Consider the following 16182-nt stretch of genomic DNA (forward strand, 5'->3'; position numbering starts at 1 on the left):
ATGAGGTGATAAATAGAGCTTTATTTTTGTTCTCAGGCTATTCAGAGAGAAAAAAGTTTTGAAATATTTTTAGACATAGTGTCTTCTTTTTTAGGATTCTCTATATATACATTTTATATTATTGCATAGCTTGAATTAGTCTTGCATACTAACCTTATATCACATATAATTTTGTCCTACTTCCAGTTTTTCCTTTTTCTTCTTAGTTCCTATCTGTTTTCCCCTCCTCTGTCCCCAGCTGCTATTCCAGGACAGCACTTTCTAAAATTCCATAGTTCTCTGTGCTTCAAAATTTTGAGAATTCTTGCTCAACATGACTATTTCTAGAAACTGCTTGCAGCAGTTCCAAAGTCCATGGCTTCAGCATCAAGGTCATGGGAAAATCTTTACTGTTCAGAGAGAGATTTCTAGAGCCCTCCAGTGAATATGTACAAATCTTCTACGGGGCAATAGCAGAAGAGCCAACACGTGATAACCTTTGCTTATAATATTCTTTCTGAAATGGGTAGCCTCAACTGGCAATTTACATCTAAAATATCCACTTTGTTTTAGAATTAAGCTCTATTTATCTTAGTAGTGGCACGTTCTTTAAAATAAAAGAATTATTTTTCAAGACTGAGGCTTGGAGAAAAAAATAAAATAAAATAATTGAAAAAACACTACTAGGGAAAAAGAGAAACATGAGCAAGGTAAAGAAATTAAAACAAGACAAAACAAAAACTCATCACCTTTAAATGTGTTCAAATCTCCAGGTCCAGATTATTCAGAACAAACTTGCAGATCAATGAGGGAGCAAGCACCCAGGGAGAGAAACAGGTTGAAGATAAACATTAATAACTATAAAGGTACTTGTATTCCCGAGACAGAAAATTGACCTTCTAATTTAGAGATTGATCAGCTTGCTGTTGATCACTAGCAAAATTCTAGGATAAATATTAAAAGCCAATTTGTGAACATTTGGGCCAGAAAAATCTTGCCTTAATCCCAAAGGAGTTTTTTAAGATCAAGTTATGCCAAACTTGAAACACTACATCAGATGAATATCAAAGAGAAATTCAATTACAGTAAGGCTCTTGACAAAGTTTGTTATCTTTAAGAACCAGATGGTAAACTGAGGGCTACATAAAAATACAGTTGGGTGAATTCAGAGTCAATTGAATAAGTATATTAAGGGCAATTGTTTAGAGGATCCATGTCCTTTGAGAGGAATTCTCTCTCCGGAATGATCACCCTGCCTGGTGTCACTGATGATGATTTAGATGATATTTTCAGAACTGCCAAATAACCAAACTGGGAGGGAAAATACGTTGGTTAATAGGATCAGATCAAGATTGAGAAATATTCTAACAGGCAATAAATATCAGAGCCGAGAATTCCACAAATGCATGATTAAGGACATATGTCCGAACAGGAATTTCTCTTAATAAAGTATTATATAGGTTGACTTACAAAAATCAGGAAACACAAACAAGCAAACAGAAAAAACTGTAAATGTGATAGTCATTAGGACTGTCTGCAAAAATTGTTCTTCTGAGCTCATTGGAAGCTTGCATTTCTTTGTTCCTTTGAAGTGAGGCATGAGATTTTCTTTGAACAACAAAATACCAGAAGTGTCATGCAGTGTGTGCAAGTTGCCTCATCCTTTTTTCCTGCCTCAGTGGTAGTGGAAGCTTCTGGAGCCATCTGTCTGTGTCTGTGAGTGGGTGTGATCAGTAGGCCCCTCTCTCATAAACCGTGCTGATAAGCAGCATAAGCAAGAACTAATTTTTGATTGTGTTTAGTCACTGGGATTTGGGGATTATTTGTTCAGTATAATCCAACCTATTCTGAGTGATGAAACTAGTATTTCAGAACATAAAGATAAGAAAAAGTGTGTTTGTGCTGTGTTAATTCCAAGACTTTTAGCACACATATGCAATATACACATAAATTATAAAAATGTCATGTATATTGTAACATACTTGTTTACTTCATTATATTGTGAAGTAAGTATATTTCTAAATCAGTTTTTTAACTAAATAATAGTAATGGTCCATTACTTGAACATGTCATACCTAACCAATTCCCTATTGTAAAAACTTTATTTTTTCTATTTTGATATTATAAGTAGTGCTATGATAAGACTCTTTGCACACATTTTTAATATTTCACTTAGAATAAATTAGGAAAAGTGATATTTTTGAGAACAAATTAATTGCTTTCTTAAGCTTTGATCATATATTTCCAAATTATACTAAATAAGTAATAAAAATGTATAGTTCCATCAGCTGTGTGTGAGAAAATCTGTTTTTCCAAGTATTTGTCTGCATAGAATATTGGCTATTAATTTCATTTTTAGCAGTTTAATTTTGCCAGCAACTTTGGCATCTAGCTTGTTTGAACATTTCATCACATGTTTGTGAGCCATTTTATTTCTTCATTTGTGACTCACTTATTCATGCTCTTTATTCATTGTTCTACTGATATTAGTCTATTTCAGTTGATTCTCAAGGGCTCTTGAGATATTAAGTCTGTTAACCCCTACATGTATTTTGCAAGCATATTTCTGTTTTCTGTTTATTTTTTGATATTTTTATTATTCTTCCACTTTGGAGCTTTAAATTTTAGTTGGCAAAATATAGCAGTCTGTCTTATGTGACTTATATCCTTGAAGGATACATTTGGAATTCTCAAATCTCCAAGTAAAATTAGCATTTTCAAATATAATATTTTCCTCTAGTTCTTTATTTTGTTTTTACACATACATTTTTAATCCATCTAGAATTTATTTCTGAATATTAAATATGACAGGATTCTTCCCCTCCCACCCAAAAATACCTAGTGTTTTTAACTAATCTTAAACTCAACAAGAAGCATTAGAGAGGCAAACACACACATTAATGCAATCTTAAACTTCTTTAACAAAATCTAGGACACACCAAGAAGGAAGTCATAATTCTACTACTCTTCATCTGTTAGACCACTTCTAAAATTCAATTAGGACATTGATAAATAGGAGGATAGTCAGAGAAGGGCAACCAGAATGGTGGTGGTTCAGGAAACCATATCTTTTGAAGAAGAATTCAAAAAATGTTTTGCTCGGGAAGAGATTTATATTGACATGAAAATTGTATTCATAATTAGGAAGGATTGGCATGAAAATGTGGTAGATTCATTCTGTGTAGTTCTAGATATTGGCATTTGGCACATTAAAATTTATAGCAAATCTTACTTAAATAAAAGGAAGAATTTTATATTCAAAAATGAGGTACAGTTATCCCTCAGTATCTATGGAGGATTGGTTCTAGGACCTCTCATGGATACCAAAATCCACAGATGCTCAAGTCTCTGATATAAAATGGCATAGTATTTGCACTGGACCTATGGACATTCTCTTTTAAATCATCCCTAGATTACTTCTAATACCTAATACACTGTAAATGCAATGTAAATAGTCGTTATGCTGTATCGTTTAAGGATAATGACAAGAAAAAAAGTCAATACGTGCTTAGCACAGATGCAGTTTTTTTCCCCAAATATTTTTCATTCATGGTTGGTTGAATCCATTGATGCAGAACCCACAGATACAGAGGACTGACTATACTGACATCCTACTGCTGTAGGAATTCAAACAATTACTAAATGCCATTCAAGTTTGTACAGGAGATCCTTGCTTGGGTTGGGATGTTAAACTGATGACCTCTAAGGCCTCTTCCAAAGTCTAAGATTTTATGATTCTGGATTGTTTGACCTAGCTGAAGAAAATGACCTAGTAAATAACTATTGTTACTTTCAAAAATTTAAGTCTGAGTTCTGAAAAAGGCTTAAAGTGGGAGGATAAGACAGAGCATCGGCAACTTAGGGGATTGGCAGACAAGCCCAGGCCCTCCCACCCAATGATAAGCAGTAGAATCTTAGGCAGATCACTTATCTCACCCGGGCTACAGTTTGTCATTCTAAAATGAGAGAGTTGAACTAAAATATCATTACCAGATGATCTAAGAGTCCCCTCAAAGCCTAAGATCCTATAATTCTATGTTTAATAAATAGGTATAATAAATGACATAGTCAGGTTTTCAAATAGAAACTCCTATGCCTATTTTAATAAACTCTGGCTGTCTCAGTGACTTGTCCTATTGAGAGCCTCAGATGCAAAAACCAGAGGTTAAATCCAAGGTTCACACATTTGTCATTCATCAAAAAAAAAGTTTAAGAACTTATTTTGCATGGGGCGCAATGCTAGGTACTATTGATTCAAGGGCAATTAAAGTGAAGACTGTTGTACTGTCAAAGATCTCACAGTTTAGTGGTGATGACAGCCTAGTAGACCAACAATTATGCTACTACATAACAATTGTGTTGGATGTCTTTAACTGCCATAGTGTCAGAGACTGACAGCCTACTTGGCCTTTAGATATCTCAAATATACCCCAAGAGACTCTAGCTTATAATTTCTATCCTCATGCTTTTGCGTTACTGAAGGTGAATGTGTTCCCTGTTTAAAAAGTTTAATAATTTGCCATTTGGGAGTATTTACTGTGTGCTCTATAGCATGCTATTTAATCAGAATTTCTTTAGAGAACAGTTAACTTTAAATCAAATGGAACTTATAAGTGAGATATTCTCCTTTATCTTTGGATATTTTTTTGCACTTGGGTTTCAAATGCTGAAAATGAATGTTCTCTCCATCATAACATTCACAGACCCTTTTCCTGACTTTTCATGGTGTGTGACTGTGGCCTGACACTTGCTACAGATGAGAACCCTTTCAAGCTAGAATTGGAGGGCTCAATCTACTTCTACCATTTTCAAAGACATGGTTGGTAGCTTGGGCTACTCTAGGCTTTCTCTTCTGTGTTCTCTGGGGCTCTGCTTCTGACCTGCCTTTTTCCTCTTTTTCCTTCTGGTCCACTTCACCTCAAAGAGGACACATGGGAGATAGGGGAGGCATTCCACAGCCACGGCCAAGAAGAAAGGACCACCCCGGGGTCGAGTCTCTGGCAGCGTACCCAATCTATTCTGGGGTGAATCCAACCTGATTGCATGTTTCTCTAAAATAGATCACCAAGTTGAAGATACACCAATTTTTTTCTACAGTTTTTAAATAAACTTAGACTTTGTAGTCCGCCAAAATAAACATTAGAGAATAAAGCAGTAAATTTTTCAGTAAATATATTAGAAATAGAGGGTAAGAAATCCTCCAGTCTGGCAAAGACTGGAATGGGAGCATGAATTGGAAACAGGTCAAGACTCCTGGCCATAAATAGTCTTCTCACTTTAACCAAGATGTTTGTCTCATGCATTCTGACCCAAGAAGGTTACTAGTTTCCAGGAGGAGAATTGGTGGGACTTTTCAGCCCTAAATGTGCTTAAAGGACAAAGGAAGGAAACTCAGTCACAGAAACGAGTGGATGGAAAAAACCATTATGCTATTTTTTTTTTAATGTCATTTCAAAGCAGTAATTTGGATAGATGTCATGTTGTTTCCTATGAATGCCATGGGGTTATATCTGGATGACTACCTTCCTATGACCAAAAACTAAGAGTGACATAGTGATAAATTCACCCAGGTCAGAAGTAGAGTCTGGGACTTTTGTGTGTCAGTCTGCTATTTAACACCAAGGCCTTTGTCCTCTAAAGGTAGAAAAGTCCAAGAGGAGAAAGCATGTGTCAATATTATTTTAAATGACATTAATTTGATATTCCCTAAATGAAAAGAAGATCTTTATAAAGACCCTTTGTCTCTTCTCCTGTTTACTTCTCCCATCTATCTACCTTTTATTCTTTCTCTCTAAAAAGAGCCTAAGATGATGCAGTAAGATTGAAATAGCTAAACCTACCACACAGGGATGCTTTAAAGCAAGCTTGTCCAACCTGAAGCCTGCAAGCCTCATGAGGCCCAGGACAGCTTTGAAAGCAGCCCAACACAATTCATAAACTTTCTTAAAACATTAGGAGATTTGTTTTGCAATTTTTTTTCAGCTCATCAGCTATCGTTAGTGTTAGTGTATTTTATGTGTGGCCCAAGACAATTCTTCTTCTTCCAATATGGCCTAGGGAAGACAAAAGATTACACACCCCTGCTTTAAAGAGTAAAAGAATAACTTACGGGAAAGCACCTATCAGACACATAGTAGGTGCTCAGTAAAGGAATAGCTCCATTTTCTTTCCTTGTTGGCAGAGGAAAAACATTGCAAGATCGTGGGTAGAGAAATGAAACGATGAGCGCTATATTATGTTCTTCTCCCTGTTGGAATCATATTGGTGAGAAAGGAATGCCAGGTTCACACATCAAATCCCTGAGTTTTACTTTTCCCAATCGTCACTGCAGGTATTTTTATCAAGGCGATGGAAAAAACAGTGCTCCCCACTCCTGGTCAATCAAAGAGGTCTCTGCTAAACAACAAATTATGCCTGTTGCTCAAGGTTCTATCAGATGCCTGGCATCAGATTAGGAGTTCCTTTGAAGAAAAGACTATAGACTCCAATAGAACTCCTTATTAGTCTGCTTTCTGAGAAGGTGTAATAATATGCTCTCTATGGGAACTACGTAGTCATTTGTTCAACCAACAATTAAGGAGGCACCACTCATAGTTGGTTACATAATTGGCAGATATCTTCCAGTCAGGATTATTTTAGAGGCCATAAAGAACAAAATGGTTTTGCTATAAGTACATTCTCCGTTTAAAAAAAGAAGAAAGATTTAACTGCTCTGACATATATACATGGGAAGCCATGTACTATAGTGAATGAGAGTGCAGATTTTGGATTCAAATGGTTCTCAGTTCAAATTTCTTTATTAATTTTGTGGACTTTGGAAAGTTATTTGACTTTTCTGAAATGCCATTTTCTCACCTGTAAAATAGCAATGGTAATAGCTTACTTTGCAGAGTTGTTCAGAATTACATGAGATAATAATATATATTATGTGCTTAGTTCATATGGTGTCTAACCCTATAAACAGCGACCAACAAATAGCAGTTACCGCCGTGCCAAAATTGGACAAGCTATCATCACCGGGGCTATGTGCCCTGAGTATTTTTGTTTGGCCCTTGTCTTTAGCCAACTGAGCAATACAAAACTGAGTTCCTGAGAAATCTTGGAAACAATGATTCTTTGGTTCTCACCACCCCCATATTGTGAAATCCATGATCTTCACATGGCAGATTCTATCCAACCAAAGCCCCTTCAGAATTTTGGAATGGAATTCTCATACCACAGCCAGTGCTATCATGACTCCATGGGCGTGAGGAGCCTGACTGGGGGCAGGGCGTTCAAATTGCCCTTGGATCTTATCAGCACCTCAGAAATGTTACAGCTAGTCAGCTACTAGGAAGTGGAGGCCTAGCCTCTTAATTTTGTTCCTGCTTAGAAATAGGCATACTCTGGGTTTTCATAACCCTGAAAATCTCATAGCATAGCCCTGAATATTCAGCTTCCCTTATTAGAAATAAAGACCACTCTCCATTTAGAGACTGGCCAAGAAAGAGACTCCTGCTGTTGTAGTAATATGGTTGCCCTTTGACCCCAGGAAGTTCATTGTGTCTCCTTTCTGACCACAAAAGTTTACTCCAACTCCTCAGGTAAATGTCTCTTCTCTGATAAGGTACCAAGCTCCAAAGATCTTGAAAGGTTTAATATATACCTTCCAGAACTTTTCATCCACACAACTAGTAGTCTCTTCATACTCTCTTCACAGCACTTGAGGCATTAGGAGTTGCTCAGTAGGTTGCTGAATTATTGCAACTCAGGAGCCAGACTATGACAGTGAACTGACATGTGTTTGTGGCCACCTAAGCACTGTGTTTTGACAAAGGAAAAGAACCTTTCGCAGATGCAAGAGAGACTTCTGTTTGATGAGGTGAGCGCAGTGCAAGGGAAGCTGCCTCTTTAGGATACTCTGGACGTAAAATGACATAAAATGAAGACAATCATAACAGAACAGCCTCCAACCTAAACAGTGTTCTGGTGCAATAGAATTTACTTTTCACTTTTAAAACTTTTTTAAAAATACATGATTATTGTAGACAAATATAGTAATATAGAGAAGTAAATTAAAAAATTAAACATTTTCAAGAAAACCACCAATATCTAGTATTAATGATATAAAATGTATCCTCCTAGTCTCTTTTTAATGTATGTATTCATTTTATAAAAATGGTGCCATGGTAAGCATTCTGATATGTAATCTGCTTTTCCCCTAGTACACTGTGAACCTTTTCCATAAATATTTCTCTGTAATATTATCTTCCCTAACTTTTGGTAATGTTTTATTATTGTGTCACAATGATTTAACCAGCTATGAATTATCAATATTTAGATAGCTTCCAGATTTTCAGAATTATAAAAATAGTTTGATGAGTTACACTGTAGGTGAATGTTTGTTCTTAACCAATATTCTTTTGTTATAATAAATTTCTATATATGGTATCTGCTGGGTGAAAGGCTATGTGCAAGACTGTGTTCACACGCCCTGCTATGAACTTTCCTATACAGGACCCCTGTGAGCAGATGCAATGGTTTGCTTCCTGTGAGTGGACTTTCTGGGTCTTAGGTAAATGACAAGATGATTCTGTTTTCCCATTTCAGTCCCAGTTTACACTTTCTTATCCAAGGACTCACAGGACTAACTCATTGTTAGTGCCCCCATTTTATTCTCAAAAGTATCTTTGTTGAGGCAGCATTGTATAGGCAATTTGTCACGGGGTAGATAAATGCTTACCTTTAAGAGATAATGCAAAACTGTTTTCCAGAGTTGTTGTACCAACTCAATCTCCCTGGTAGTGTATAAGCAATGCTGTGGATCTGTTGTCAGACTTTTTTGCTTTTAATGAAATGGTTATAAAATGCTATTTTATAGCCACATGTTAAATATACTTTATCTTTTTTTTACATTCTAAATTTCGTCAGTGATACATTATAATTGTACATATTTATGGGGTACATGTGATATTTTGATACATGCATACTATGTGTAATGATCAAATCAGGGTAATTAGGATATCCATTGCTTCAAAGATTTGTCATTTCTTTGTGTTGGGAACATTTGAAATCTTCTTTTCTAGCTACTTTGAAATATCCAATAAGTTATTGTTAACTATAGTCACCCTACTGTGTTCTCAAACACTAGAACTTATTCTTTCTATCTAACTATATTTTTGTACCCATTAACCATAACCTCTTCATCCCTTCCATCCCCTAACCAGCCTTCCCAGCCTCTGGTAACCATCATTCTCCTCTCTACTTCCATGAGATCAACTTTTTTAGCTTTCACATATGAGTAAAAACATACAATGTTTGTCTATATGCTCTACTAATGACTTTTATACTTTTACATGTTTTCATGATGTTGATTACTGTCTTTTTGCTTCCAGATGCAGGACTCCCTTCAGTATTTCTTGTAAGACCAGTCTAGTGGTGACAAATATCTTCAGTTTTTGCTTGCTTTGGAAATACTTTATTTCTCCCTCATTTCTGAAAGAATCATTTTATAATTCTGATATGTATATATATCCTTTCTTATATAAAAGAGAAAGCATGAGATAATGAATATGAGATTCACATTAGCTCAGATAGGAGGGAGGCATAGGGATGAAATGTGGAGAACTTACAATTAGCTATCAGTTATCATCAAGATCTGAGCACCAGGCATGGTGGCTCATGTCTTTAATCCCAGCACTTTGGGAGGCCAAGGTGGAAGAATCGCTTGAGCCCAGAAGTTCAAGACCAGCCTGGGCAACATAAGGAGACCTCCATCCCTACAAAAAATTTTAAAATTCGCCAAGTGTAGTGGCACACATCTGTGTTCCTAACTACTCAGGAGGCTGAGGTGGAAGGATCATTTGAGCCCAGGAATTTGAAGCTTTAGTGAGCCCTGATCACGCCACTACACTCCATCCGGGGTGACCAAACAAGACCCTGTCTCAAATTAAAAAAACAAAAACAAAAAGAAAAACTAAATAAACAAAAAGATATGAACATTCACTTTGGTTGGTATTTTCTAAGGATTTATCAGAAACAAATAAGCAAACAAATGCATGCCATGGGTATGTACTGAACCAAGATTATGATTAATTTATTTCTGTGTACAAGAAATCCAATGAAAAGAAGGAAGGATGTGAATATTTGAAGGTTATTTATAGCTGAGGGTAGGGAGACACAAGCACCCCTGTGGCCACCAACACTGGGACTACACTGATTCAGACCCAAAGCTAGCACAGCACTGGGTCTTACCCAAGGCCCATGGCGACCACTGCCTAGGATGTTCCCTCAAAGCCCAAGGGCTCTACAGTCAGCAGGTGCCAAATCCAGCCAGGCTTGTGGTCTTGCCTTCAGGGGGCAAGCTTCCCCCACCCAACCCAGGGCAGGTCCAGAATTGCTGTCTTTGAGCAAGGGCCCAGGATCAGGAACTTTAGGAATCTACCTGGCGCTCTATTCTACTGTGGCTAAGCTGGCTCCAAAGCCACAAGACAGTCATTCCTACTCTTCCCTCCCCTTTCCTCAAGCAGGGGAGACTCTTCCCATGGCCACCACTGCCCCAGGCTTGCAGAAAATACTGCTTGGCTACTACTGATGTTCACTTAAGGCCCAAGAGCTCCTCAGTCAGCTTATGGTGAACACTGTTAGATCTGGGTCTCTCCCTTCAGGGCAGTGGACTCCCCTCTGGTCCAGGGAGCCAAGGCCTGGAATTAGGAACCCTAAGAGCCCACTTGGTGCTCTACCCCACTGTGGCCGAGCTGATAACCAAGTGCAAGACAAAGCTCCCTTTACACTCTGCTCTCCTTTTTCCAAGCAGAAAGAGTCCCTCCCCATAGCCGCCACAGCTGGGAATGTGCTGGGTCTCACCTGAAGTCAGCATGGGACTAGGTCTCATCCAATGCCTGCAGCAAATACTGCCTGGCTACCACTGATGTTTATTCTAGGTCCAAGGACTCTTTGGTCAGCAGGTGATGAATCCTTCCGGAACTGGATTCTTCCCTCTAGGCAGTGGGCTCCCTTCTGTCCCAGGGTTTGTCTAGAAATGTCATCTGGGAGCTAGAACCTGGAATGGGGGCCTCAGGACTCTGCCTGGTGCTCTAACCTACTGTGGCTCAGCTGGTATCCAAGTTTCAAGATAAAGTCCTCTTTAGTCTCCCCTATCCTTCCTCAAGCAGAAGAAAGGAATCAGAGCTGAGAGCCGTGCTGCCTGGAGTTGGGGGAGGGGTAACTCAAGCACTACCTTGTCATCCCAGCTGGTGTCTCACTAGGTTGTGTGTACCCCAAGTCTACTGGCAAGTACAGCACTGGGACTTGCCAAGGAATTGCAGTCCTTGTGGCCTAGACTGCCTTTCAAGTTTATTTAGGACCCCAGACCACTTTAGTCCAGAGTGGCGATGCTTTCCAGAACCCAGTCGCTGGGATGCATGATTCCCCTCTGACTAGGGCTGGTCTAAATGCTCCCTCCATGGACACTTGCCGATTTCTGCCCTGCTTTACTTTCCACCGTGAAAGGCAGCACTGAGTTCCAATGCAAAGTCCCGCAGTCACTGCACCCTCTCTCCCCCAACATGCAGATTCTTTCTCTGGGCCATGTGGCTGCCGCTGCGGAATAGAGGAGGGGTGGTGTTGGCAATTCAAGACAGTCTTTCCTATCTTCTTCAGTGCCTCTTTCAGTGATATGAAGTTAAAACCATGTACTGTGATCACTCACCTGATTTTGGGGTCTTATAGATGCTTTCTTTTGTGGATAGTTGTTCAAATTTGGTGTTCCTACAGTGGGGACAATTGCTGGAGGGTGCTATTTGGCCATCTTGCTTCCTGAAGATTATTTGTAGATACCACTAGATCTGCCCTCAAGAAAGGTTAAACAATTCATATTGTCACAAAAATGTATAAGAGTATGGATTTCACTGTGTCCTAAATTGCTTTATAAGGCTAAAGTGATTGGATTGGATCCACCTGGGCCATGATACACACCTGAGCTGTGGAACTTCAGTCCCTGATACATGAATGGTAAGGCATTTGATCAACCCTTGCCATTCTCATCTTTGCTTGAGGCCTGCTCACTTTGGTGTGGTATTGGAGCTAGCATGCAAAGCAGGGCCTACAGCATGTAGCTGAGGGGTGGAACCATCTGGAATGCCTCTGCCACTGTTGTCTTTAATGGCTTTCAGATGTGAAGAGGATCACATGCTCTCCAGCTGTTTTTATGTTCACTCCAGGAGCATTGTCTCAAAATTTCCAAAATATTCTAAAATCGGGGGTATAGCTCAGTGGTTGAGCATTTGACTGCAAAATATTCTCAAATCTACCAGTTCTGCACCACTATCATCATGAGTGGTAACAACTAATGTCTAGTTTTTGTTTAAGGTGCCATAATTAAAAGGTATGTAAATGAAAGAAGTTCCTCAACCCTCAGAGTTGCACTTCTTTATTTTAAGAAATCAGATAGGTATTCTTAGGTCTCCACCCTTCAGTCATGGGAAACTGCATTTCAGTAATGTTTAAGAGCTCCTTTTCCTCCCAAAAATGATACAAGAGTGGAGATGGCCAAGGAGAGGATGTACCCTAACTGGAAATTTCAGTCGTCACCAAAGTGCACATTGTCCAAGACCTATGGTCCATTTGAATGCAGTTGCTTCTGTTCTCTCTGTGGTAAGCCTGAGCTGAGGATCTTTCATTAAGAGTCTCCACACAGTCCTTCACAATGCTGCCTCCATCAACAATCTTGCCATCTCCAGTGAGTCACATGGGAGCAGAACTAGGTCCCTACAATATTTATTTGAAAGTAAGTAGGCTTTTGATAAATAATCTCACTTCCATACATCTTGAAGTCTTGGGAAATCCCACTCTCTTTCCCACCCACACTGCCTCCTTTAATCCTTGGAGCTCCTCCTCCTTTTGGATAATCATTCAACATGCCTCAGTTTACCTAGTTTTCATAAGTAAAGACCTGGGTAGGTTTTTTTTGGTTTTTGTTTTTGAGACGGAGTCTTGCTCCGTCACCCAGGCTGGAGTGCAATGATGTGATCTAGGCTCACTGCAACCTCCGCTTCCCGGGATCAAGCGATTTTCCTGCCTCAGCCTCCCCAGCAGTTGGGATTATAGGTGTGTGCACCACCCCACCCATCTAATTTTTGTTTTGTTTGTTTATTTGTTTTGAGTCTCACTCTGTTGCCCAGGCTGGAGTGCAGTGGCGCGATCTCGGCTGACTGCAACCTCCGCCCTCTGAGTTCAAGCGACTCTCCTGCCTCAGCCTCCTGAGTAGCTGGGATTACAGGCGCCCGCCACCACGCCCGGGCTAATTTTGTGTATTTTTAGTAGAAACGAGGTTTCACCATGTCAGCCAGCCTGGTCTCGAACTCCTGACCTCAGGTGTCTGCCTGACTCGGCTTCCCAAAGTGCTGGGATTACAGGCATGAGCCACCACATCCAGCCAAGACCTGTTTTCTTTAGAGGGAGAGAGGAATAGAAAAACGCCTTTTCATTTTTACTAGATGTAGTGAAGACAAAGTAAATGAAACCTAAAAAGAAACAAACAAAATACCAGAAGTGTTAAGACACTGTCTTGTTGATTCTGCCCTCAAAATATGGCCAAAATCTCTCCACTTTTCTCCAGCTCCTTTGCTGTTACCTAGTTCAAGCTGCTATCATCCTGATGTTATCCCTTTCCTAATTCTGGTAATTCTCTATATCTCCTTAAACCAATCTCTGAATCCCCATTTGTTCGCTTCTAACAGATTCTCCACAGAATAGCCAGTAGGAGATTTTATTTTATTTTTTATTGTTTTTGAGACAGACTCTCACTCTGTTGTCCATGCTGAAGTGCAGTGGCATGATCTTGGCTCACTGCAACTTCTGCCTCCTGGATTCAAGCGATTTTTGTGCCTCAGTCACCTGAGTAGCTGGGATTACAGGCATGCATCTGGCTAATTTTTGGTATTTTTAGCTGAGACAGGGTCTTGCCATGTTAGCCAGGCAGTTCTAAAACTCCTGACCCGCCTTGACCCCGCAAAGGGCTGGGATTACAAGCATGAGCCACTGTGCCTGGCCCAAGAGGGAGATTTTAAAAACACAAATCAGATTGTGTAACATCCTCAAATAGTAAGATATACAATAATAAAATGTAAAATTCTTATCAAGATTTACAAGGCCTATAAGCCTTCTAGTGTTATTCCCTATTGCTCTTCTCTAGGTTATTGACATGACTGGTTTTGTTTGTTTTTAAACTTCCTCTAACCCTTTTCTAGCTCAGGATTAGTCTACCCTTTTACCTAAAATCTTCTTTTCCTGCCTACCTTCTGGTCATGCCTCATGTCTTAGCTAAATGTGATCTCCTCAAAGAAGGCTTTCATTGATTACATAATCTAAATGAGTGACCCTGCTTTAGTTTCTCATTATATTTACTGTCATTCTTAGCATTGCCACAATATGTCATTATCTATGTGTTGACGTGATTATTGACTCAATATCTGTTTCCCCCACTGACCACATATCACCAGTGCCTAATGAATAGCAGATGCTAAAGAAATTAACAAATGAAAAAGAAAGATGTGGAACTTTGAATGGTTTAAGTTCTATTTAGGCAGACACACACACACACATACACACACAGAGAGTAGTTATTGTGGGTTATAGACCATCTCACTTTCCTAATTCTTATCTCAGACACTGAATAACTAGAGGCCCAGCCATTGCCACAGAATTTTTCCTTCATATTCTTGTTGACTGCCTTACTTGAAAGCAATTCAATCCATGTGTAAGGATTCCGTAAGACAGTCTGTCATGAGACAAAGGCAAAAATCCCTTGGTTCTATTTTTGCTACCATCTGTGTCTTTTTAAACTCCTCCTATATGTGGAACTTTTTCATTGCTTTGTTTGACTTCTGTAAATCTGCTAAATATGTTTACAAGCAACTTTCACAACCCTTCTCCACCATCACTCCCACTTTGATGTCCTACCATTTTAGAACTGGATAGATATTTAAGATGCTCTTAACTTTGCAGAAAACAGAACAACCAAGCCTCAGAGAAATGAAGTGATTTGCCGAAAGCTACGCAATTGTGATTACTCAATTGTAGAGAAATAGGGTAGGGTGCAGTGGTTTGCGACTGTAATCACAGCCCTGTGGGAAGCCACTGTGGAAGGATCGCTTGAGCCCATGAGTTTGAGGCCAGCCTTGGCGATATAGTGAGACACCCATCTCTATAAAAACATAAGAACATTAGCTAAGTGTAATGGTGCATGCTAGTAGTCCCAGCTACCTGGGAGGCTGAGGTGGGAAGATCCTTTAAGCTCAGGAGGTTGAGGCTGCAGTGAGCCAAAATCATGCCACTGCACTCCATCCTGGGTGACACAGTGAGACCCTATCTCAAAAAATTAAAATTTGAAAAATTTGAAAAACAATTGTAGAGGAATAGAAAACAAGGTGAACTTCTAAGACCTTGGCCTTTATAATTTACTCCCAAATTTTCTATCTTAAAAAAAGAAGAAGAAAAAGAATCAGGGAACATTCTAAATCTGAGAGTGCTCTAATTTTTCAAAAGATGTTTAAAAAGTCAATTTTTACCATCATTCTAAAGAAAGCAAGGAAATAAGACCTAAAAATATTTAAAACTCAAATCATCTGTATAGGAGAATTTTGGTATGTTCTAGGCTTCCTTGTGTTTACTTTTCATACTGCTTTCTGTAATCAAGTAAGATTAAGTGAAAATTACCTGGGCCACAAAACTGCAATGAAATTATTAAAGCATTTATTTAAAATATTTTCAGTCAGGTGCAGTGTATCATACCTGTAATCCCAACACTTTGGGAGGCTGAGGCAGGAGGATCACTTGAGCCCAGGAGGCCAAGGCTGCAGTGAGCTATGATCATGCCACTGTCCTCAAGGCTGGGTGACAGGGCCGGAGCCTGTCTCTAATAAAAATAAAATAAAATAAAATAAAATAAAATGTTATTTTATCTTTAATCTGAACAATTCTAGGATCTGGCATCTTTGATGTTTCCAATACAATCAATTTCAAAATATATGCTGAATTTCTACTATGCAAAGGAGTGTTGTTTAGACCTCATATGAGGGCCAGGAAGGTGAGCTAACATGGAGACAGGCTGTATGAGTCCACTCTCATGCTGCTAATAAAGACATACCCAAGACTGGGTGATTTATGAAAGAAAGAGGTTTGATTGACTCACAGTTCAGCATGGCTAGGGAGGCCCTAGGAAAC

The 16182-nt window shown here is 39.1% G+C and overlaps 1 protein-coding gene and 1 long non-coding RNA gene across 2 annotated transcripts in view, besides 1 other annotated feature; one reads left to right on the plus strand and one right to left on the minus strand.

Moving 5' to 3' along the window:
- Nucleotides 1-16182, plus strand: part of PHLDB2 (pleckstrin homology like domain family B member 2) — a 244022-nt gene that overhangs the window by 50307 nt on the left and 177533 nt on the right. The gene's annotated exons all lie outside the window — the stretch shown is intronic.
- Nucleotides 761-15793, minus strand: LOC107984087 (uncharacterized). Its single transcript, XR_001740848.2, has 4 exons — nt 15751-15793; nt 11669-11804; nt 6089-6226; nt 761-773 (listed from the first exon to the last, which is right to left on the minus strand). It is a non-coding gene; the product is annotated as an uncharacterized LOC107984087 (long non-coding RNA).
- Nucleotides 10040-10541: an enhancer, noted in NCBI's record as "H3K27ac hESC enhancer chr3:111511689-111512190 (GRCh37/hg19 assembly coordinates)". NCBI's record gives its function as "activates a minimal SCP1, AML or CMV promoter by ChIP-STARR-seq in primed H9 embryonic stem cells {active_cell/tissue: H9 hESC(primed)}" and the evidence as "EXISTENCE:reporter gene assay evidence [ECO:0000049][PMID:30033119]".

This window comes from Homo sapiens, chromosome 3 (genome assembly GCF_000001405.40).
Source record: "Homo sapiens chromosome 3, GRCh38.p14 Primary Assembly".
Lineage (NCBI taxonomy): Eukaryota > Metazoa > Chordata > Mammalia > Primates > Hominidae > Homo > Homo sapiens.